The following is a 24,382-nucleotide window of genomic DNA, read 5'->3' as shown; positions in this document are numbered from 1 at the left end:
TCCTCCCGCCTCAGTCTCCTGAGTAGCTGGGAATACAGGCATGCACCACCATACCCAGCTAATTTTTGTATGTTTTTGTAGAGACAAGGTCCTGCCATGTTGCCCATGCTAGTTTCAAACTCCAGGGTTCAGGCTATCTGCCCACTTCAGCCTCCCAAAGTGCTGTGATTATAGGCATGAGCCACTGCGCCTAGCCCCCATTTTAATTTTTAAAACAGACTTTCAAAGAACAAAAGTAACTTCTAATTATAAAATAAAAATTATCTGCCATCCTACATCCTGGAGATAATTACCACCAAGACATAGGACTATCTCTTGTCAGTCCTTCTCATTGGATGTGACTGCAATCACACACTGTATAATGGTTTCATATTCTGGGTGGGTTTTTATTTGGTTAGTTACTCAATACATATTGGGCATTTCCCCCAAATTACTGAAAATCATTTTGAATGACTGCAGAAAATTATATATAGACATACTACAATTTAATCGCTTTCTTTTCATTGGTCTTTTTGGGTTTTTTTTTTTTTTTTGAGACATTGTTTCACTCTGTTGCCCAGGCTGGAGTGCATAGGCACAATCACTGCTCGCTGCAGCCCTGACCTCCCCAGGCTCACGTGATCCTCCTATTCCACAGGCACACCCAACCACACCTGGCTAATTTTTGTATTTTTTGTAGACACAGGGTTTATCCATGGTGACCAGGGTGGTCTCAAATTCCTGGGCTCAAGTGATCCACCCACCTCGGCCTCCCAAAGTGTGATTACAGGCGTGAGCCACCATGCCCTGCCTGGATTTCTTATTTCTTTTAGACAGACTGCAGAATAGAACAACCAAGTCAAAACATGCAAATATTTTGAAAGCTGAAAAATACTGGTTGCTTGTTTGTTTGTTTTTTTGAGACGAAGTCTCGCTCTTGTCCCCCAGGGTGGAGTGCAATGGCACGATCTCGGCTCACTGCAACCTCCGCCTCCCGGGTTCAAGCGATTCTCCAGCCTCAGCCTCCCAAGTAGCTGGGAATACAGGCACCTGCCACCATGCCCGGCCAATTTTTGTATTTTCAGTAGAGACGGGGTTTCACCATGTTGGCCAGGCTGGTCTCAAACTCCTGACTTCAGGTGATCCACCTGCCTCAGCCTCCTAAAGTGCTGGGATTACAGGCATGAGCCACTGCGCCCGGCCTAAATTGTTTCTTTTTAATAGTGTTTTTTTGTTTGTTTGTTTTTGGTTTCTGAGACAGATTCTCGCTCTGTCACCCAGCCTGGAACGCAGTGGCATGATTTCAGCTCACTGCAACCTCCATCTCCCAGGTTCCACAGATTCTCCTGACTCAGCCTTTTGTGTAGTTGGGACTACAGGTGCAGGCTACCATTCTGGACTTATTTTTTGTATTTTTAGTAGAGACAGGGTTTCGCCATGTCACCCAGGCTGGTCTCGAACTCCTGGATTCAAGCAATCCACCTGCCTTGGCCTCCCAAAGGTACTGGGATTACAGGCATGAGCCACTGTGCCTGGCCCTAAAAAATAGTTTTAAAGGTAATAATTGACCTGTTCTCCCATTTGCTGGACATTTTCAAATTATGTACCGCAAAATAAAAACACCCATTTCACCATAAAGTTTTAAAATCTTTGCCAATTTGGTAAGCAAAAATGTTAATGCTTTTTAAAATTAAAGATGAACAATATTTCATATAATTACAGGTCATTACAGTTTCTTCTTTCATGAACTATATATATGTTTTTTGTACATTTATCTATTACAAGGGAATAATTTTGCCTATTTTTAAGAGATCTTTACAACCTGAGAATACTGAGCATCTCATATTGGTTAAATATTTCCTTTGCTTTTGATAATACATTTTTAAATTATAAGAGTTTTATATTTCTATATAGCTAAATTTATTCAGCAATGAATTAACTATTCATATTTTCTTCTAGAGGTTTTAGTTTAATTTTTTAAAATCAATTTAAAAGTCAACATCGAATCTACTCTCATCTTGGGATAAGCTAAGGCGTTAACCTGATTTTTCTTTTCTTTTTCCAAACAGCCAGTTTTCCCTAGCTTATTAATCTAAGACTTAATTCTCTTTTGCAGCGTTTGATAGTGTTAAATGTCCCATCTTTTTTTTTTTTTTTTTTTTGACATAGAATCTAATCTTGCTCTGTCGCCCAGGCTGGAGTGCAGTGGCATGATCTCAGCTCACTGCAATCTCCACCTCCCGGGTTCAAGCAATTCTCCTGCCTCAGCCTCCTGAGTAGCTGGAATTACAGGCGCATGCCACCACACCCAGCTAACTTTTTTCTGTATTTTTAGTAGAGATGGGGTTTCACCATGTTGGCCAGGCTGGTCTTGAACTCCTAACCTCAAGTGATCCGCCCACCTTGGCCTCCCAAAGTGCTGGGATTACAGGAGTGAGCCACCGCCACCGGCCAAATGTCCCATCTTTTAAAGAACATTTTTCTCTTAATTTCTGTGACAGTGCTTTTGTAATCTTGTACTCCCACTTCTCATCATCCCTTTTTTGGTTTGTCCTCTTCCTACCATCCACTAAATATAGGTCTCTATGATTGTGTTCTTGTTCTCCTTTTCTTTCTCCACAGATTTTTCCCTAGGATCTCAAATTCCATGATTTCTAAGGTTATCTCAGAGAATGATTCCCAAATCAATCTCTACTCTTTATCTCACTCCCATCCTCTAGTATCAAATTATCAACTAAATGCAGGAGATCTAGAATAACTCTCCCATCCCAAGGCCCTCCCTTTCTTCCTTTTTTTAAAGACAAGAGTCTTGCTCTGTCACTCAAGCTGGAGTGCAATGGCGCAATCACAGTTCACTGCAACTTTGAACTCCTGGGCTCAAGGGATCCTCCCGCCTTAGCCTCCTGAGTAGCTGGGACTACAGGAGCATGCTACCTCACCTGGCTAATTTTTTATTTTATGTAGAGATGGGGTCTCGCTTTGTCCCTCAGGCTGGTCTCAAACTCCTGGGCTGAGGCAATCTTCCCCTTGGGCCTCCCAAAAAGCACTGGGATTATAGGTGTTAGCCACCATGCCCTGCCAGGTCCTCCCGTCCCTCTAAACATTCTCTTCCTATGGTCTTCCTTCCTTCTTAGGTTTTGGTTCTATGAACGATACTGCTGTCTTTCCCAGGCAATTTTACATTTTTCCTCCCTGTGCCTCTTGACACTCAGTATCTAAGTCCTGTTGATCCCACTTTCACATTCTCCCTCTACTCTTCCACCATCATTGCCTCAGTTCTAGCCTTCGTTACCTCTCAATAGATTATTGTAACAAATTTCCATATAGGACTTTCAACCTTCACTCACCACCACATAATCCAAACTATATACCACTGTCAAAATATTTTTTCCTACAGAGTTCTGATCATACAATCTCCTGTTCAAATATTTTAGGCTGGGCGTGGTGACTCACGCCTGTAATCCCAGCACTTTGGGAGGCCAAGAAGGCCAAGAAGATCACCTGAGGTCAGGAGTTCGACACAAGCCTGGCCAACATGGTGAAACCCCATCTCTACTAAAAATACAAAAAATTAGCCAAGTCTAGTGGTGCACGCATGTAATCCCAGCTACTCGGAGGCTGAGGCAGGAAAACTGCTTGAACCCAGGAGGCAGAGGTTGCAGTGAGCCGAGATCGCGTCACTGCATTCCCATCTGGGCGACAGAGCAAAACTCAGTCTTAAAACAAAACAAAACAGAACAAAATCAAATTATTTTAAAAGACATTCCTTTCCTTTAAAAAAAAAAAATTCCGTAAGTCTTTACTTGCAAACCTCCATCTGGTCCCAACCTATCTAACAATAAAAATAACATTTATTAATGGCTAAGCACTTACTTGTATATCATCCCAACTTCAGGTGGCAGTAAAGCATGATAGTTACGAGCTCAGGCTCTGAAGGTAAGGCTGTTCCAGGTTCAACTGTCCCACTTAACGCTATTAACTCAAGCAAGTTCCTTTCCCTTTCTAAGCTTGTTTTCTCATCACCTATAAAAATGAGACAATAGTACCTAACTCATAAACGTTTAAGGACTAACTGAAGGAAGAATAGACATGTTGAGCATAGTGTCTATCATATAAAGGCAAATAAATATATATTGACTGATTCTACTTTCTAATCACCAAATGCCATTTCTCCCTTGAAATTACTGCACCTTTAGCCAAATATTATGATTAAAGATTTCCTACAAAACAACCTGTGTTTCTCACCACCTTTGTTTTTCTTCTTTCCATTTAGAATTCCTTCTTCCCTCCAATTCCTCTAAGACATGCATATACAGTTTATAGCTCTGTTTTAAGGTCTTAGGTCAAATATTATTTCTTCTATTAAGGCTTTATACATTTTACTTTACACACTATTTAATTTACATCTTTTAAAACAATCGTATTATTTTCTAATAATAAACATAAAAACAACAGTTCAAAAAAAACAAGATTCAAAGCAGCTCTCAAAAGGGTATGAAATTAAGACAGATTGACAGTTCTAGCAAATTCTGCACGCTCGGACTTTGGGGAAACAGACTTCTTATATAATGAAAAATTATATAAGAAGTCTGTTTTTACTATCTGTTATTATTTCCCAGAATAGTTATAATTTGCAAAAACGTGTGTGTCTAACCATTGTGTTCTCAAAATGTAGACCCTGGTCTAGCAGCATCAGCATCACATGGAAATGTGTTAGAAATGCAAATCTTGAGTCCCACCCCAAATCTAATGAACCAGGTGATTCTAATGTGCTCTAAAGTTTGAGAAGCAGGGCCATACTAAAATAGTACTGGCGGTTTATTTTATTTATTTTAATAAGTTTAAGTTATTTTAGTAAAGTGTGAGGCTAAAACTAAAAATAGATTTTGAAAATCAATCCGGAAATCTATACAGTATACAGAATTGTCAGTGGAACCAACACCACCAATTGGCTTTGAAAAGCAATTAGCTGGCTGGGCATGGTGGCTCACACCTATAATCCCAGCACTTTGGGAGGTCCGAGGTGGGCAGATCACTTGAGGTCAGAAGTTCGAGACCAACCTGGCCAACATGGTGAAACCTCATCTCTACTAAAAATACAAAAAATTAGCTGGGCGTGGTGGTGCATGCCTATAATCCCAGCTACTTGAAAGGCTGAAGCAGGAGAATCACTTGAATCCGGGAGGTGGAGGTTGCAGTGAGCTGAGATCACGCCACTGCACTCCAGCCTGGGCAACAGAACGAGACACGGTCTCAAACAAAAAAGTAAAAAAAGAAAAGCAATTAGCTGCTAATTATGTGCTACTATAACTTTGTTCCCCTATTCCACAATCTTACAAACATCTGCTAATTTCAACATACATATACATCTGACCTATAAATAAGTTCATAAGTTATGGACAGGATAGAGAACCTCAGACAACCAAAATGCTATTATAGTACAATCAGGTCATAAATGTTCAAATCAAAGAGTAACAATCAAGAAGGCACATGTGCTGGGCGTGGTGGCTCATGTCTGTAATCCCAACACTTCGGGAGGCCGAGATAGGGCAAATGCTTCAGGTGAAAAGTTTGAGACCAGCCTGGGCAACAGAGCGAGAGCCTGTCTTTAAAATATAATAATAAACTTAAAAACAAAAAAAAAGAACGCACATCTAACGACAAAATCTTGAAAATCAGGCACCAATAATCTTGGTACTTCATAAAAATAAACAAATAAACAGAAGACAACACTGAGAAACATAAAACATCCAGACATGCTGTGGGGAAAACAGATCAATAAACACATTTATGATACAGACAGTGCTTGAATTAAGATCAAAAGCTAAAATAACCTAAGGCTATTAGTAAACTTCCTAAACGATAACTATGAGGATGGAGGGAAGGATGCGAAGCACCTGTCCACTACATATATACTTCCCTGCCTTTTAGTTTTATAGTCATGAAATCTGCAAACAAAAGCAAAGGAGAAAAGGCAGTCACAGCTATGACTACTACTCATTATTGTGTAGTAACATTTAAACAGCTTTTGACAGTTTACAAAATGCTTTTCAAACCTGTCATCTCAAAGGTGTGTGTGCTCTGGAATAAAAGCTGATGCACAGGAACTTATGCTTAACACAAAAGACATACTCAAAGATTTGTCAGGCAGTCTCAGAAACCCAGAAGACATTGTTCCCCAAATTATTTATGACAATGATTCACTTAGGAAGATAAAAAGCATTGATTAAATAGCATTAAGTAGGGGATCCAGCAATGCCTTTATAATAAATTTAAAGATGTCCAGAGTACAAGTGGTTTGATGAAAATACTGTTAAGAAAGAGACTTGCAGAAAACAAACAAGCAACAACACACTGGCATAACAGAACCTTTTACATACCCACTTATTATACAAAGATACAGGTTTATTGTGTAAAAGAAGAGGTAAATGACCAAAGCAAACTGAAATACTAAAACATTTTATGCGGGAACTTTCAGGAATTCAAGAAATCTTCTACTAAATATAATAATACTAAAAAAAGACAAAAGAGACATAATAGTATTCAGTCTACAGATATTTATGTAATTTTTTAAACCTGTCCTATTGCTTTTCTTTTTTTTTGACACAGGGTCTAACTGTCATCACTCTGAGTACAGTGGCACGATCTCAGCTCACTGATCTCCCCAGCTCAAGTGATCCTCCCACTTTGGGCACCCTCCCCACTCCAACAGCTGGGACTACAGGCACGTGCCACCAGGCCTAACTACCGTTTTTTAATTTTAATTTTTCTGTTTTGTTTTGTTTTCTGTAGAGATGAGGTCTCACTCAATTGCCCAGGCTGGTCTCAAACTCCTAGGCTCAAGTGATCCTCCTGTCTTGGCCTCCCAAAATGCTGGGATTACAGGTGTGAGCTACCATGACCGGCCCCATTGATTTTAATCACAGTAAAGAATAAAAGTATCTGCTATTTTCTAGGCAAGAAGTTACTGCTCCTTAATATTCTACATCTCGTGAGATTAGTATAGATGATTCTTCATCATAAGAATGTGAAAGCAGATACCTATTAGGTAAGACACAACAGCTTTATAAACTTTGATTTTCCTAAAGATCTTGATGAGTTGTCTTTAACTTTTTATTATGAAAACCTTCATATATTGGCCAGGTGCAGTGGCTCATGCCTGTAATCCCAGCACTTTGGAAGGCTGAGGCAGGCAGATCACGAAGTCAGAAGAATGAGACCATAGTGGCCAACATGGTGAAACCCCGTCTCTACTAAAAATACAAAAAATTAGCTGGGCATCGTGGCGGGTGCCTGTAATCCCAGCTACTCGGGAGGCTGAGCCAGGAGAATTGCTTGAACCTGTGAGGTGGAGGTTGTAGAGAGCCAAAATTGTGTCACTGCACTCCAGCCTGGGTGACAGAGTGAGACAACACCTCAAAAAACAAAAAAAAAAACCAAAAAACTTCCATATATCTATCGGCCAGGCATGGCAGCTTATGCCTATAATCCCAGCACTTTGGGAGGCTAAGGCAGGCAGATCACTTGAGATCAGGAGTTCAAGACCAGCCTGGCCAATATGGCAAAACCCCATCTCTTACTAAAAATACAAACAGCCGGGCATGGTGGTGTATGCCTGTCTTGAGTAGTCCCAGCTACACAAGAGGCTAAGGCAAGAGAATCGCTTGAACCCGGGAGATGGAGGTTGCAGTGAGCTGAGATCGCGCCACTGCACTTCAGCCTGGGTGAAAGAGTGAATCTCCATCTAAAAAAACAAAAAAACAAAACAAAAAAAAAACAACCCATAGATGACAAATGCAGATAGACTAATACAATAAACTCCCATGTACCTAACAGCACAGCTTCAACAACCATCAGTATTTTGTTCTACTTTCTTCACCTATCCTCCTCTGCAGCATCTGACACTGTAACATCCCATCTTTGTGGATAATTTTCCCTCACAGTCTGTGACATTACTTTTCTCGTTCTTCTCCCCTTCTGACTACTCCTCCTGTGGTTCATCATCTTCTTCCTACTCACTGCTTATGCAATTTGAGAAAAACAAAGAATCAAATGGAATTTTATAATCACTGCACTCTGTGGTTAAGACATGCCACTCACTACTTTAAAAGCAGAATCATCTCCTTTCCTAATTTTATCTGCTGTTACCGATTTCCAGGATAACCAATAAGCAGTCTAAGTTAATTCACATAGTCCAAGGCTTTCAACACCTTTTAGATGAAGGGGGCCTGCCCCTCCATACCTGTGGGTATTTCTCGTCAGGTGGAGACGAGAGACTGAGAAAAGAAATAAGACACAGACACAAAGTACAGAGAAAGAACAGTGGGCCCAGGAGACCGGCGCTCAACGTGTGAGGACCCACACCAGCGCTGGTCTCTGATTTCCCTTAGTATTTATTGATCACTATTTTTACTATCTTGGCGAGGGGAGTGTGGCAGGGCAACAGGGTGATGGTGGGGAGAAGGTCAGCAGGGAAAAATGTGAGCAAAGGAATCTGTATCATGAATACGTTCAAGGAAAGGTACTATGTCTGGATGTGCACAGAGGCTAGATTTATGTTTCACTTTACACAAACATCTCACTGTAGCAAAGAGTAACAGAGCAGTATTGCTGCCAGCATATCTCACCTCCAGCCACGGGGCGGTTTTCTCCTATCTCAGAATAGAACGAATGGTTGGCTTTACACCCCGACATTCCATTCCCAGGGACGAGCAGGAGATAGAAACCTTCCTCTTATCTCAACTGCAAAGAGGCCTCCCTCTTTCACTACTCCTCCTCAGCACAGACCCTTCACAGGTGTTGGGCTGGAGGATGTAAGGTTTTTCCTTTCCCACGAGGCCATATCTCAGGCTGTCTCAGTGGGGGGAAACCTTGGACAATACCCAGGCTTTCTTGGGCAGAGGTCCCTGCGGCTTTCTGCAGTGCATTGTGTCCGTGGTTAATCGAGAATGGAGAATGGCGATGACTTTTACCAGGCATACTGCCTGCAAACATATTGTTAACAAGGCACATTCTGCACAGACCTAAATCCATTAAACCTTGAATCAATACAGCACATGTTTCTGTGAGCACAGGGTTGGGGCTAAAGTTACAGATTAACAGCATCTCAAAGCAGAACAATTTTTCTTAGTACAGATCAAAATGGAGTTTCTTACGTCTTCCTTTTCTACATAGACACAGTAACAAACTGATCTTTCTTTCTTTTCCCCACATTTAGGTCCAAACTTGAACGCAGATAGGCACATGAAAGTGCTAAACCTGGGCTAACAGCAAACAGCTGGTACAAAGCTCTGCCCCTTCTAATGAAGGCCCAGATGATACCATAGCTAGTGGTGACCTTCACATATGTGTAAAGCTCCTATCTCAGTTTTTCTGGAAAAGAAACTTAACAGCCCAATGATGGCTCTGGAGTTTAGAACACCCTGCCTCTGAAAAGGTGCCAGTATATTTATTTTCTACAAGCTGAAGAAGTATCAACAATTTGGTTATCCCTAGCCCACTCCAGATAGCTCTAATCCGATAAGCTAAGAGTCTTCAATCTTTTGCAAATATTTCCCTTCTTGAGTTCTGAATTCTTTCTGACACTCATTTATTCTTATATCATGAACCTGAAGTTTACACTAAAATGAATATTTAGGAAATCTATCTCTCCGCATTCTGTGGTAAGCAATCAGTGAATGCTTACCTTGTTTCATCCTTGGATCTGGAGCCATCATCATTCTGAGAAGCACCTTTAACATCAAAGTTTAAACAGAAAATGAGTTTCAAGAGAGTAGTTTTCATGTTTTTTCTTTTCTAAACATGCCATGTAAGCAAAGCCTTTTATTAAATCTTTGTAATAAAGAACATACTATAACTTAAATTCCAACATGACTTTAAAAGGAAAAATGTGATTTTCATGACTGCAAAAAAAGTCTGCCAAAATTTTGTGCAAATGCTTAATAATTAATGGATACGGGATGTTAATTACTAAAGGTATATTACTCATGCACTACTATTCCTGCCTTTTTTTTGAAATATGTCTAACTCTAATTTAAACCTAGTGTTTTAACCATCTTTGTATCCCAAATACCTCATAAAAAAGTGCTGATCGCCAGCAGAATAAAATCGATTCCAGAAACAGAAAAACCCATAACGTCTCTCTTATTGCAGGGGCCTGGAAAACAGCTTAAAAATTAGGAAAGCCACAAATGGGAATCCAAGTTGCCAAAAATTAATGCCACAATATTCTTATTTTCTTCTTGCTTTATTGATGGAAAATATCCTTAGGATTCAGTCCAGATCTTTTTACTGTAACAGTGTTGGAGGAGCCAGGTGCAACAGCTTACACCTGTAATCCCAGCATTTTGGGAGGCCAAGGTGGGCGAATCACCTCAGGTCAGGAGTTCAAGACCAGCCTGGCCTACATGGTAAAACCTGTCTCTACTAAAAATACAAAAATTAGCCAAGAGTGGTGGCAGGCACCTGCAATCCCAGCTACTTGGGAGGCTGAGGCAGGAGAATCGCTAGAACCCGGGAGGCAGAAATTTCAGTGAGCCAAGATCGCGCCATTGCACTCCAGTCTGGGCAACAAGAGCAAAACTCCCGTCTCAAAAAAAAGAAAAGTGTTGGAGGGAGGGTGCTAAAGGTAGGTACATTTAAAGAAGCAAAACAAATGGTAAACAGGGAAAGAGAAAGAAAAATGATCACATGTAGAAACAAGAACTCAAGTTCGACCACCTAGGTCCATTTAGTAAAGGAACAATAGGCCCTGGATAGAATCATAGTTTAAACAGGGAAATTATTACCATATTACAAAAAAGCATAATTGGTGGATTAATTTAAAAAATACTGAGTCACCACTATACTATACCATACTTAGCAAAGTTGGTAAATGTCTCATCCAGTCTAGAAATATATTATCTTTAAATAGTATGTGAATAAAATGTTGTCTATACAATGGAATTATTACTATTTGGTAATAAAAGAGAACAAACTAATGAAACACGCTATATCATGGATGAACCTCAAAAACATTATGCTAAGTGAAAGAAGCCAGACACAAAAAACAGATATTTTATGATTCCATTTATACAAATGTCCAGAAAAAGACGAATTTTTAGAGATAAAAAATAGAGGCCGGGCGTGGTGGCTCACACCTGTAATCCCAGCACTTTGGGAGGCCAAGGTGGGCAGATTGCCTGAGGTCAGGAACTTGAGACCAGCCTGGCCAACATGGCGAAACTTCATCTCTACTAAAAATACAAAAATTAGCTGAGTGTGGTGGCGGGCGCCTGTAGTCCCAACCACTCAGGAGTCTGAGGCAAGAGAATCACTTGAACCTGGGAGGCAGAGGTTGCAGTGAGCAGAGATCACACCACTGCACTCCACCCTGGGCGACAGAGTGAAACTCCGTCTCAAAAAAAAAAAAATACAGATTAGTGGTGGTTGCCTGTGGCTGACAGTGAGAAGGGAAGCTCCTGTAAACAGGCAAGAGGGATTTTACTGAGGGGATAAAAATGTTTTAAACCTAAATTACAGTGATAGTTGAATCCCTCACTTAAGTTACTAAAATTCATTAAGCTGTACACTTGAAATGGGTAAATTTTATGTTGTATAAAATACAACTCAATAAAGATGTTAATGTGGTAAAAAAAAAATGGTACAATGAAATACATTTTGGCTATAAAGGGTAAATTTCAGTTTAAGAATGTTTTAATATGGAATATAGTCCCCTAAAATGGCTTATGAATGGGACATAAATGAAATCAGAAAACCACAACAAAATATCCAGCATAAGTTACTAAAATGTGTCTATTAGTATTTCACTTTTCTCAAAATTAAGAAAATCATTAGGAATAATCCATTTAAGTCTACCATTATTTGCTACTTCTAAAACCTTCTCACTACAGTGACAAAGAACAGTATTTTAATCACATGAGTTCTGAGGGCAGACTGCCTAGGTTTGTATCCTAGCTTTATCATGTACTTTGTGACCTTACAAAAGTACACTTGACTTCCTGTACTTTTCCTGCATATATAAAATGGGGATGACACCTACTTCATAGAGTATTTATAAGAATTAAACATGTAAACATTTAGCACAGTGCTAGCACATATAAGCAGTCCATAAATAATAACTATTATTTCTCAAAATTTACATCTCATTAGGAAAGTCTAAACAAGGGCCATTTTTCAATATACATATTTTTTCTTGACAAAGGGTCTTGATGCATTGTCCAGGCTGGAGTACAGTGGCATGGTCATAGCTCACTGCAGCCTCAACTTCTCAGGCTCAAGCAATCCTCCCACCTCAGCCTCCCAAAGTGGGAGGATGCATGGATGCATGCCACCACAAAATCAGCTACATTTTTTAAAGATTTTTTTGAATACATGGAGTCTCACCATGTTGTCCATGCTGGTCTCAAACTCCCGGACTCAAGTGATCCTCCCGCCTTGGCTTCCCAGAGTGCTGGGATTACAGGTGTGAGCCACCATGCCTGGAATATTCACTCTTTTATTTCACTCCAATATAAAGTGAAGCCATAACTATGAAATGTATGGCATAAATTATTTAGATCTTATCCTCTGCTTACAACCAGAGAATAGTTAACAACAACAACAACAACAACAACAAAAATCTAACACTTATACAATGAACGTCCAAGAAGAGAACAATGGTTGTTCTTAACCACTGCATTTTACAAACGTATTGCCCTTTAAAGGTATTCCCAATCCAAATTTCCTCAAGAAAATTTGTCAGATTGCTAAATGCACATGTTTTACCCACAAGAAACTTTGGAAGATCTACAAAGATCTCTTCTACTCAGTAAGCTCGTCAAAATGACCTGCCCTCCCACCACAAAATAACTAGCTCCTAGATAAAGCGTTTTAACACATCGTTCCTATTTCTTGGGTGTCTAGCAATCTCAAAAACAAAAAAGTGAACTGAAGCCAGGTATGGTGGTGAGCACCTGAAGTCCCAGCTACTCAAAAAGCTGAGGCAGGAGGACTGCTTGAGGCCAGGAGTTCAAAGGTGCAGTGTGCTATGACCGTTCCTGTGAATAGCCACTGAGCTCTAGTCTGGCAACACAGCGAGATCCTGTCTCAAAAATAAAAAAACAAAGTGAACAGACACAAGTATGCAGTGAGCAAATGTGAAAAACTGGGTTATCCAGAGGGCCATTTTCAATCCTCAGATGGATTAGAAAGCCTTGGGCCAGCAGCAAACCTGTGGTGCTGAACCAGAGCCTGCCACATTAGGCTGGCAAGGGTCTGATCCATTTTACAAATACACAGGTAGGAAAGGAGTTGAAGCGTTCCCAGTTCAGTGGTACACCCTAGCAACTAGCAGAAGCAAAAGAAATGTTCTCTGGGGCAAAGAATCCCCAATTTAGGCCCTTAAGATTCCAACAGATTAAGATCAAATATAAACTTGCAATCGAAGAACAAACGCAAATGAAAACAAACCTCAATGAGGAAGAGACAAAAAACCATTTATATACCCAAGGATTTCAGACACTGGAATTATCAAATGGAGAATGTTTTAAAAAAAATTCCTATGTATCAAAAAAAATTACAAGGAAGAAATGAGAAACTATCAAAAACAAGCATCAGCAATTCTACTCCTAGGTATATATCCAAAAGAAATGAAAACATATTTCTACACAGAACCTTGTACACAAATGCTTAAAGCAGCATTATTTATAATTCATAACAGCCAAATGGAAATAAGCCAAATGTCTATCAATGAATGAATGGATAAACAAATTGTGGCACAAATATACACAGTAGAACTATCATACAGCCATAAGAAGAAAGGAAGTACTGACACATTCTACAACTTGGATGAACCTCAAATTCATTATGCTAAGTAAAGAATCCAAACAAAAAAAGTCACATGATTCCTTTTATGTGATATATCCTGAATAGGCAAATCCATAGAGACAGAGAGCAGATTAGCAGTTATCACGGCTTGGGAGAAGAAAGAAATGGGGTTTTTTTTCTAAGGTGACAAGAAAGATCTGAAACTAGAGACAGATGGTGGATGTGTATCACTGTGAATACACTAAACACCATTAAGGTGTACACTTTATATAACCGTTAATTGTATGTTATGTAAATTTCATCTCAGTTTTAAATATCCTAATAGCATATTTGAAGAAGCAATTAATATTGTAAAGCTGAAAATAAACATACCCCAGCAATTCTACTCTCAAGCATACACCCAACATAAACGTTAAATCTGTTTATTAATAAACATATGCAAAAATGTTCAATGTATCACTGTTCACATGGTTTAAAAAAAAAAAGCTAAGCAAATGTCCTTTGATATAAAAATCTTAAAACCCGGTACATTCACTCAACAGATTACTATGCAGCAGTAAAAGTGAATGGCCTACGGACACAATTATATGACTAAATCTTAAAAGGCCTGTAGTCCCAGCTACTCGGGAGGCTAAGGCAGGAGAATGGCGTGAACCGGCAAGGCGGAGCTTGCAGCGAGCGGAGATAGTACCACTGCCCTCCAGCCTGGGCGACAGAGTGAGACTCCGTCTCAAAAAAAGAAAAAGGCAACACTGAAAATTAGCTGAGTGTGGTCGTGGACGCCTGTAATCCCAACTACTCGGGAGGCTGAGGCAGGAGAATTGCCTGAACCCGGAAGGAGGTTGCAGTGAGCCAAGATCGTGCCACTGCACTCAAGCCGGGGCAACAGTGGAAGACTCCGTCTCAAAAAAAAAAAAAAGGCAACACTGATATTTTCATAGAGCTCAAGAGAAACGTACAAGTAATGCTTATATATCACACATAGGATAAAACTTTTAAAGACCACAGAAATGACAAATTCAAAGTTCAGAATAGTGATTATCTCGAAAGGAAAGGAAAGGAATAATATAGGAAGAAAAATACAGGTGGATGCAATGATATTGTTAATACTCTAATTCTTAAGCTGTGTGATAGTTTCAGGGATGCTCATTTTATTTTATATCTTACACATATTAAATATGAGAATATATAACAACGGGCTTTGTAAATTGTAAAAATGAAGAACACAGTAGTCTTCACTGAAATTCACAATGACCATATCATAGCCTCAATACTTCAATTTTTACAGTACCTCTCATAAAGTAAGACAAAAACATAACATACATGTTGAAAGGAGTTTTACAGCTGGGCGCGGTGGCTCATGCCTGTAATCCCAGCACTTTTTGGGAGGCCAAGGCACATGGACCACCTGAGGCTGGGAATTTGAGACCAGCCTGACCAACATGGAGAAACTTCACCTGTACTAAAAATACAAAATTAGTCGGGCGTGGTGGCGCTTGCCTGTAATCCCAGCTACTTGGGAGGCTGAGGCAGGAGAATTGCTTGAACCCAGGAGATGGAGGTTGCGGTAAGCCGAGATCGCGCCATTGCACTCCAGTCTGGGCAATAAGAGCGAAACCCCGTCTCACAAAAAAAAAAAAAAAAAAAGGAAAAAAAGAAAAAGAAAGAAAGGAGTTTTACTACCTTTTGTGGGGAAGTAAATTATTTAATATTCTGAGCATACATAGACGTATGTTCAAATGTAAGTCAAATTTTTAAAACTAACATTACAGCAAAGTTTATCTCTATAAAATTAGTTGGTACCCAGACCAGTTGAGATCTAGTAACTTCAAATAATATTTGGTAAAGCAAAAAATTTAGGCTACTTTCTTAGAATTTATTATTCTAGTAAGAAACATTATCAATATATTCACATATGAAAATGGTTTACCCTAACGTTAAGCGGAACTACAAAAACTAGAGCCTAACATAACAAAGCATCAAAATTTAAAAGGAATGGAATGCATAGAATAAGAACCAGAAGTCACATATTCCAAAAACTCTCCCTAAATTAATTTTAAACACATCCAGAGTATACATGATAAAAAGTAAAGATCTCTACAAGACTATGTTCCTATTTTATAATCAGGAAGTTAAAAGTGGCCGGGAGTGGTGGTTCGTGCCTATAAACCCAGCACTTTGGCAGGCCGAAGCAGGAGGATTGCCTGAGCTCAGGAGTTTGAGACCACCCTGGGCAACAGAGTGAGAACCTGTCTACAAAAAATACAAAAATTAGCTGGGTGTGGCTGAGTGCGCCTGTAGTCCTAGCTACTGGGGAGGCTGAGGTGGAAGGATCACTTGAGCCCAGGAGGCGGAGGTTGCAGTGAGCCAAGATGACACCATTGCACTCCACCCTTGGCAAATGAACGATACCCTGTCTCAAAAAAAAAAAAAAAAAGTTGAAAGTAAAATGCATTTTTCTTTCTCTTTAGGAAAACTAGTATTAGTCTTTGGCAATAATACTTTTCTGTGTTTCTTGTTAGAGGTCATAAATGGGAAGACTGGTACTAAACAACTCACCAAAAAAACCATCCCACGAAAAGAAAAAAAAAGATGAATGAGAACCTCTGGCAGATATGAACTGCCCACACCTGATTTGTTACTTCAGATCTGTGGGCTATAAGAATAAGTCAACCTTTAAAAAAAAAAAAAAAAAAAAAAAGCTGGGCCAGGCGCAGTGGCTCATGCCTATAATCCCAGCACTTTGGGAGGCCTAGGCAGGCGGATCAACTGAGGTCCGGAGTTCGACACCACCCTGGCCAACTTGGTAAAACCCCATCTGTACTAAAAATACAAAACTTAGCCAAGCATGGTGGCGCATGCCTGTCATCCCAGCTACTCGGGAGGCTGAGGAAGGAGAACTGCTTGAACCCGGGAGGCAGAGGTTGTAGTGAGCCGAGATCGTGCCATTGCACTCCAGCCTGGGCAACAAGAGCGATACTCCGTCTCAAAAAAAAAAAAAAAAGTCAGCCGGGCGCAGTGGCTCACGCCTGTAATCCCAGCAACTTTGGGAGGTCGAGGCAGGCGGATCACCTGAGGTCGGGAGTTCAAAGCCAGCCTGGCCAACACGGAGAAACCCTGTCTCTACTAAAAAATACAAAATTAGCCAGGCGTGGTGGTGCATACCTGTAAACCCAGCTACTCGGGAGGCTGAGATAGGAGAATCACTTAAACCCGGGAGGCAGAGGTTGCAGTGAGCCGAGATCGCACTATTGCACTCCAGCCTGGGCAAACAGAGCGAAACCCCATCTAAAAAAAAAAAAAAGTCTACCTAAATAGCAAATTAAAATTAGCCAGGTGTGGTGGCAGATGCCTGTAATCCTAGCTACTCTGGAGGCTGAGGCAGGAGAATCGCTTGAACCCAGGAGGCAGAGGTTGCAGTGAGCTGAGATAGTGCCACTGCACTCCAGCCTGGGTGACAAGAGCAAGACTCCGTCTCAAAAAAAAAAAAAAAGCTAGGAAGAGGTCTAGGAAGACCTCTTCCTAGAGACTCATGAAAGCAGATTAACTCTGTACTTCATTGAAGGAAAACACCATAACAAATTATGTAAAGAAAACATTATAACCGAGACTTGTAGCGAGATATTAAACTAGTTGAAAGTAGGGGAATATAAAGCCAGCTAGTTTTAAAATACAACTTAAAGAAAAAGAAAAAACAAGTACACTTTGTTTCACTTGGAAAAAGTTTATTTATATAACTGCCATTTTTAGAAAATTTATCCACCAAAAAGAAAGAACCAAAAATGTGTCTGTAAGTACAGTAGGCCTCCCCTTAGCTATGGTTTTAATTACCCACAGTCAACTGTGGTCCAAAAGTAGGTGAGTACAATAAGGTATTTTTCCCCCCAAAGGTCCAAACAAAGCTAAAAAAATGAGGTATTTTTGGAGTGAAAGTGAAACTGAGAGATGACATTCATAAAACTTTTATTGTAGTATATTGTTATAACTGTTTTCTTTTCTTTCTTTTGAGACCCAGTTTCGCTCTTGTTGCCCAGGCTGGAGTGCAATGGCATGATCTCAGCTTACCACAACCTCTAACTCCCGGGTTCAAGTGATTCTCCTGCCTCAGCCTCCCGAGTAGCTGGGATTACAGGCATGCGCCACCACGCCCAGCTAATTTTGTATTTTTAGTAGAGACGAGGTTTCTCCATGTTGGTCAGGCTGGTCTCAAACTCCCAACCTTAGGTGATCCGCCTGCCTCGGCCTCCCAGAGTGCTGGGATTACAGGCGTGAGCCACCACGCCTGGCCAGAGTCTCGCTCTGTCACCCAGGATAGAGTGCAGTGGCACTATCTTGGCTCACTGCAACCTCCACCTTCTGGTTTCAAGAGATTCTCCTGCCTCAGCCTCTCGAGCAGCTGGGCTTACGGGTGCTCGCCACCAGGCCAGGCTAATTTTTATATTTTTAGTAGAGACGGGGTTTCACCATGTTGGCCAGGCTGGTCTCAAACTCCTGACCTCGTGATCAGCCCACCTCGGCCTCCCAAAGTGCTGGGATTACAGGCGTGAGCCACCGCGTCCAGCAATTATTAAATATTTTACATTAGTAATAGTTTCATCTTCTATGGGCGAAGCTTAGGACACTATAAATACTGAGGTTTAGGGCAGTTTAACAATGTAACTTGTATTTTATCTTCCAGACTTCCAATTTATGTATAGAAAAATGTGACTATTATAGAGTTCTTGTGAACAATAATCAAAGTGTCAACTCCAAATCAGTATAACCATTTCAGAAATTTCTTTCCATCCTCACTAGCCCCAGAGAACTAATCTGGAAGACATATTAGGTCCTGCTACTTTATTTTTTTTGAGAGAGAGTCTCACTCTGTCACCCAGGCTGGAAGTGCAGTGGTGTGATCTTCGCTCACTGCAACCTCTGACTCCTGGGCTCAAGTGATCCTCCCACCTCAGCCTCCCAAGTACCTGGACTACAGGCACGTGCCACACACATGGCAAATTTTTTTATTTTTTGCAAAGATGGGGTTTTGTTATGTTGCCTAGGCTGGTCTCGAACTCCTGGGCTCAAGTAACCCTCCTGCCTCAGCCTCCCAAAGTGCTGGGATCAAGGGGTGTGAGCCACTGTGCCCAGCCTGTCCTGCTATTTTTAAAAGTCATGAGTCAAAGAGGAAGTAGGAAGTCTTTCAACAAAGTAGAAAAAGAATAGCACCTGACAGCTGCAAAATGTTTCATAATGCAGTTCCTAAGTAAACCAAAAGATCTTCGTCAAACTCATCAAGAAATCCATTAATCTGCTCTTTCATTGTCTTCAGGCCTCTAAAATCTATGTTTCAAGTGAAAATACACTTAACACATTAGGAAGTGATGGAAATATCTGATGGGAAAACAGTAGGAAAAAGTTCTATTAAATATGCTAGCTGTGTAGCCACTAACTCAGGTGCCACCACAGTTTATTTTCCTTTAACACACACTAGTAAATCAGAGATTGTAAGATTTACTAACACACATATAATGAATTAGTATTGTCAAAAGATATCTCTGTAAGTGTAGCCTACAGAAGTAGAAGGGGAATGGTAAATGGATCTCAGCTTGTAATGGCTGGGTGGTACAGTGTTAAGAAGGATTTAGAGGCCGGATGCAGTGGCTCACGCCTGTAATCCCAGCACTTTGGAAGGCTGAGGTGGGCGGATCACCTGAGGTCAAGAGTTCGAGACTAGCCTGACCAACATGGAAAAACCCCATCTCTACTAAAACAAACAAAAAAACCCCACAAAATTAGCTGGGCGTGGTGGCGCATGCCTGTAATCCCAGCTACTTAGGAGACTGAGACAGGAAAATCGCTTGAACCCAGGAGGCAGAGGTTGCGGTGAGCCGAAATCGTGCCATTGCACTCCAGCCTGGATAACAAGAGCAAAACTCCGTCTTAAAAAAAAAAAAAAAAAAAAAAAAAAGGATTTAAAGTCATATTTAAACTCAGCCCCACACTGCTACAGACAATAAACTCTGTCTGCCATTGGCACAGTTGGCGGTGTGGCATCTAACCCATATTAACTGCCATAGTTGGCCTACAGAATAAATACTATATAAATCAACTCATTACTCATGGAGGCAAATGTGATTCAACTTCTATTTGGCTAATTTTTCAACTTATGTAAAAATATACATGCTTTTATTCACAGAAATAATACACTAAAAAGAAAATGTTTAAAGTGATCAATGTCTATTTTTTAAAAAGAAAAAAATCATTTCTTTTTTTTTTTTTTTAAAGAAACAAGGTCTCACTCTGTCACCTAGGCTGGACCGCAGTGATGTGATTACGGCTCAGAGCAGCCTCAACCTCCAAGCTCAAGCAATCTTTCTGCCTCAGCCTCCCAAAGTGCTGGGATTAGAGGCGTGAGCCACCACACCGGCCAGAAAAAAACATTTTATTAATCTGAAAAAAAAAATCAAAATAATTACATACAGCATACTACAATGGCTATTTTATTTAAGAAGAATCATTAAAGACCTTAAAAAGGTAGTCACTTACTTTCTGAACATGTAGTTTCACCATTGGTAACAACTTCAGACTCTAACTGTAGCCCATCAAGACAAATTGACAAGTCTCCTATTGTCTCTGTTGGCTCTTTGTCACCTCCAAGCTGCAAAGTCACAACTACTTCTTCAACTGGAAGAAAATAAAGTTACAGAAAAAATGGTCACTTTTTTCCCAGTTAAGGCATCTTAACTGTTAAAAATTAACTGTTAAAAATGTGATGTCCGAGAAAATATAACTATATGTGCATATAAACTGTTTAACTATGTTTCACCCAAGGTTTGAACACTTTTGACACCAAAACACTGTATCTTTTAAAAAGGACAAAATATGCTAATGTTTCATATTCATGATGTAAAATAGTATCTCCATCGTTTATTATGTTCATTCCATCCTTGTAAGACTATAGTATAAAATGGGCTAGCATAAGAATAAGGATTATTTAGTAATATATACCTGAATTAAATTGAGTAAAAACATAATTTAAGGATAAATTATATCTAATAAGTCCTAAATGAGAAAATTTTTAGAAGTATGTTTTAGATAGTCGAGGGGTAGAAAAAAATGTGTTTTAAAATGATATATTAATTAAAACAAGCTACACATATTTCTACATTATATAAATATACATATACAAATAAAACCACAACCTCATAAAATGAGGACATTTTTAAAAATAAGCATTTAAAGCTGGATGTGGTGGTACCTGCCTATAGTCCCAGATATATCAGGAGGCTGAGGCAGGATAATCACTTGAGGCCAGGAGTTCAAAACTACACTGTGCTGCAACTGCACCTGTAAATAGCCACTGTACTCCAGCCTGGAAAACAGAGTGAGTCCTTGTCTCCCCATGTCCCTCCCAAAAAAAAAAGCATCTGAAAAGGAAATCTGTAAAAATATTCATTTGATTTGTCTCTGAAGTGGGATTTTTATTTTTTTCTTTCATCTCTGCTCTATATTTTAGTTTTTCCACAATTAAATATGTATTACTTTACTAATATCTATTTACTAAGTAAATAAATATTTACTAAAAATACTGAATCCAAAATGAATGGTCAAACCAAGGTTACTCAGAATACTTTCAATAGTGTAAAATTCTTCTATCTGTTCATCCTATAACCAAGTAAAACTTAAAAGTATGAGAGAACATGAGTCATTATGCATGTTTGACATATAAATTTCTTCCAGAAAAACAAACAGCTAAGTGCAATTTCTATTAGTCTTACATACATACGTTTCATATTGTTTGACTTTAATGTTTCATAAATATCTAATGCAGCAGTTCCCAACAAAACATCAGATTTCAGTGTCTGGTGACTCCACACACGAAAATGTAATTTACTCACAGGGGTAACGATACTAAAAGTGAAAAAAGAGGGAAAAAATATTATTTTTATTGAATATCACAATGAGATCCTAAATAAATTACAATTCAGTTTTAAAGTCTAAAGTCTTCTCACTGCACCCCTTACAGTTTACTATACAATCAATATTGGCCTATGTTCAGTAATCTTATGAAAATTATCTGAATGCTACATGCTTACATGGTCATTTTCACTTGCAGTTGAACTACAGAAGTAAATTCATACACATATTGTCAACAAAAGTAAAACTGCTTATCCTGCAACAAACTATTGGAAAACTAGTTTTACTTTAGTAGTACAGAAGAGTAACTTTACAAATTAAATCCTTATGTCAGTAGTTTACAGAGCTTGAAGTTATTTTATCTTTATAGTAACCCTATGAGATGGGAATTATCACTTCCTTCTTCAGATACAGAAACTGACATTCAGAGATAAAGCAAATTGCCTAAGGTCAAATAGCCAGTAAGTAGCAGAACTGTAATGTGAATAAAATCCTGACATTAAACTTTATATTAAAAAGTTCCTCACGTCAGCTACATGATTTGAAGATTACATTACATACATCAAGTTTCACACTGCTAGAGGCAAGTTGCCCAGTCCAACTATCAAATATAGACTCACTCATTCCTTGCTAAATGCCAATAAGGAATACTCTCTATAATGGTATTTCCAAAGTAAACTGGGAAATTTGAATTTGCAATACACGTAGAATCAATGTTAGAGTCAAGGATCAGAAAGCTAGGAGCACTATATAATCTACCACAGTCCTATGGTTCAATGATATAAAGACAAATTCCAGAAATGTTTGAATTTCTCTATATCTCATTCTCTCTAATGTGATCAAGTTTGAGGGGACAAAGAAACACTTTCCTCCTTTGAAGTCTACCTGTACCTATTAACCAGCACCATTTCAACGGCAATGGGTAGATAAAACAAACTAAAAATTCCACACTGCTCCTCTTCTTAGGGGATACAATGTATTCATTCTTTTCAAAATTCTCAGATGCTACTTTCAAGAGAGCTCATATTATATATTGTATTAGGAAAATATTTCTCGGCCAGGCGCAATGGCTCACGCCTGTAATCCCAGCACTTTGGGAGGCCGAGGTGGGAGGATTATTTGAGGTCAGGAGCTTGAGACCAGCCTGGCCAACATGGTGAAACCCCGTCTCTACTAAAATTACAAAAAAATTAGTTGAGAGTGGTGGTGCATGCCTGTAATCCCAGCTACTCAGGAGGCTGAGGCATGAGACTTGCTTGAACCCGGGAGGTGGAGGTTGCAGTGAGCAGAGATCGCGCCACTGCACTCCAGCCTGGGTGAGAGTGGAAAAAAGAAATTCTCTATTAGTCAATTTAGAAATCATAATAGGGATGAAATAAAAGGCAAATAAATTTAACTTTACTATTTTTAATATGGAAGAAAGGTACATAAAGTATACTGTCAAAGATGATCAGTCTTGTTTCAATTCAATTCTCAAAAGCAGTCTGGAAAGCCTGCTACACGACAATGGGAAGTGATAAAATTCCAGGCCAATTTGCTGCAACTTAAAAATTCAGGAAAATAACTTGAATTGTAAGTTTCCCAAATGTTTGTAATCAAGAACAGCACTACCACATAGAACTACAAAGAGAGTTTTTTTCTTAACTTTTAAATCACTAAGAAGTTCATGACATTAACAGCTTAAGAGCCTCCAAGTGCATATCAAGTACGCACTCAAAGCAGTTGGAGGAAATTAGGTGACCATCTAATTCAACTGAACATCTCTGGTAATCATGGAGGCTGCGACCTTTTATAGATACCACTTGGTAAAGGAAAAAATATATATGAGATGGGAACTCGCTACTTTGCCCTGGTTAATCTCGAACTCCTCCTGGGCTAAAGCACCTTATCCTCCCCCCTTATCCTCCCAAGTAGCTGGGATTGCAAACATGTGCAGTCATTCCCAGCCTCATGTGTTTTCTTGAAATTTTTTTAATACATTGTTTCATTTTGACTCAATCTACAATGAGCCATTAATTAAAAACAGAAAGCCTAAGAAACATTTATGTTGAAATAAACACAGATGAGGAACATCCGAATGATACGGGCCTCAAGATGATCTTCCATAAATTCTTTTTTTTTTTTCTCTCTTTTTTGAGACAGAGTTTCACTTGTCACCCTGGCTGGAACGCAATGGCACGATCTCAGTTCACTGCAACCTGCAACCTCCGCCTACCAGGTTCAACCAATTCTCCTGTCTCAGCCTCCCGAGTAGCTGGGATTACAGGCACCCACCACCACACCCAGCTAATTTTTGTATTTTTAGTAGAGATGGGGTTTCACCACGTTGGTCAGGCTGGTCTCGAACTCCTGACCTCAGGTGATCCTCCTACCTTGGCCTCCCAAACTGCTGGGATTACAGGAGTGAGCCACCATGCCTGGCCAAATCATTCTTTTTCTTCTTTTTTTTTTTTGTTTGTCTTTTTGTAGAGACAGGGTCTCGCTACATTGCCCAGGCTAGAGTTCAGTAGCAATTCACAGGAGCAATCATATCAAACTGCACCTTTGAACTCCTGGCCTCACACAATCCTCCTGGCTCAGTCTCCCAAAGAGTTGAGATTACAGGTGTGAGCCACCACACCTGGCTCCATGTGTTTTCTTCTATTTTAATTTTAAAAATTAAAATTAACCTTCAATGGCTGTCAATATCTTAGATTATAAT

General features: G+C 39.6%; 1 protein-coding gene across 15 annotated transcripts in view, besides 1 other annotated feature; it reads right to left on the bottom strand.

Annotated features, from left to right (window-relative positions):
• Positions 1 to 24,382, bottom strand: part of ITCH (itchy E3 ubiquitin protein ligase) — a 148,501-nt gene that overhangs the window by 77,584 nt on the left and 46,535 nt on the right. For 8 of the 15 annotated variants that reach the window (NM_001324197.2, NM_001257137.3, XM_047440533.1 and 5 more), the window contains 4 exons: positions 21,551 to 21,675; positions 20,311 to 20,448; positions 16,951 to 17,073; positions 9,665 to 9,710 (listed from right to left, as the gene is read on the bottom strand). In NM_001324197.2, the coding sequence (NP_001311126.1) occupies positions 9,665 to 9,710; positions 16,951 to 17,073; positions 20,311 to 20,448; positions 21,551 to 21,675 (432 nt within the window). Of the gene's footprint in view, positions 1 to 3,852; positions 4,003 to 9,664; positions 9,711 to 16,950; positions 17,074 to 20,310; positions 20,449 to 21,550; positions 21,676 to 24,382 lie in introns of those variants that run through there. The other 7 variants (NM_001324198.2, NM_031483.7, NM_001257138.3 and 4 more) reach the window with 3 other exon arrangements.
• Positions 21,920 to 22,120: a silencer, noted in NCBI's record as "peak4195 fragment used in MPRA reporter construct". NCBI's record gives its function as "represses an SCP1 promoter by STARR-seq MPRAs in K562 erythroleukemia cells {active_cell/tissue: K562}" and the evidence as "EXISTENCE:reporter gene assay evidence [ECO:0000049][PMID:32103011]".

Source organism: Homo sapiens, chromosome 20 (genome assembly GCF_000001405.40).
Source record: "Homo sapiens chromosome 20, GRCh38.p14 Primary Assembly".
Classification (NCBI taxonomy): Eukaryota; Metazoa; Chordata; class Mammalia; order Primates; family Hominidae; genus Homo; species Homo sapiens.
Note: the sequence above shows the minus strand (reverse complement) of the source record. Positions and strands in the feature narration are given on the sequence as shown.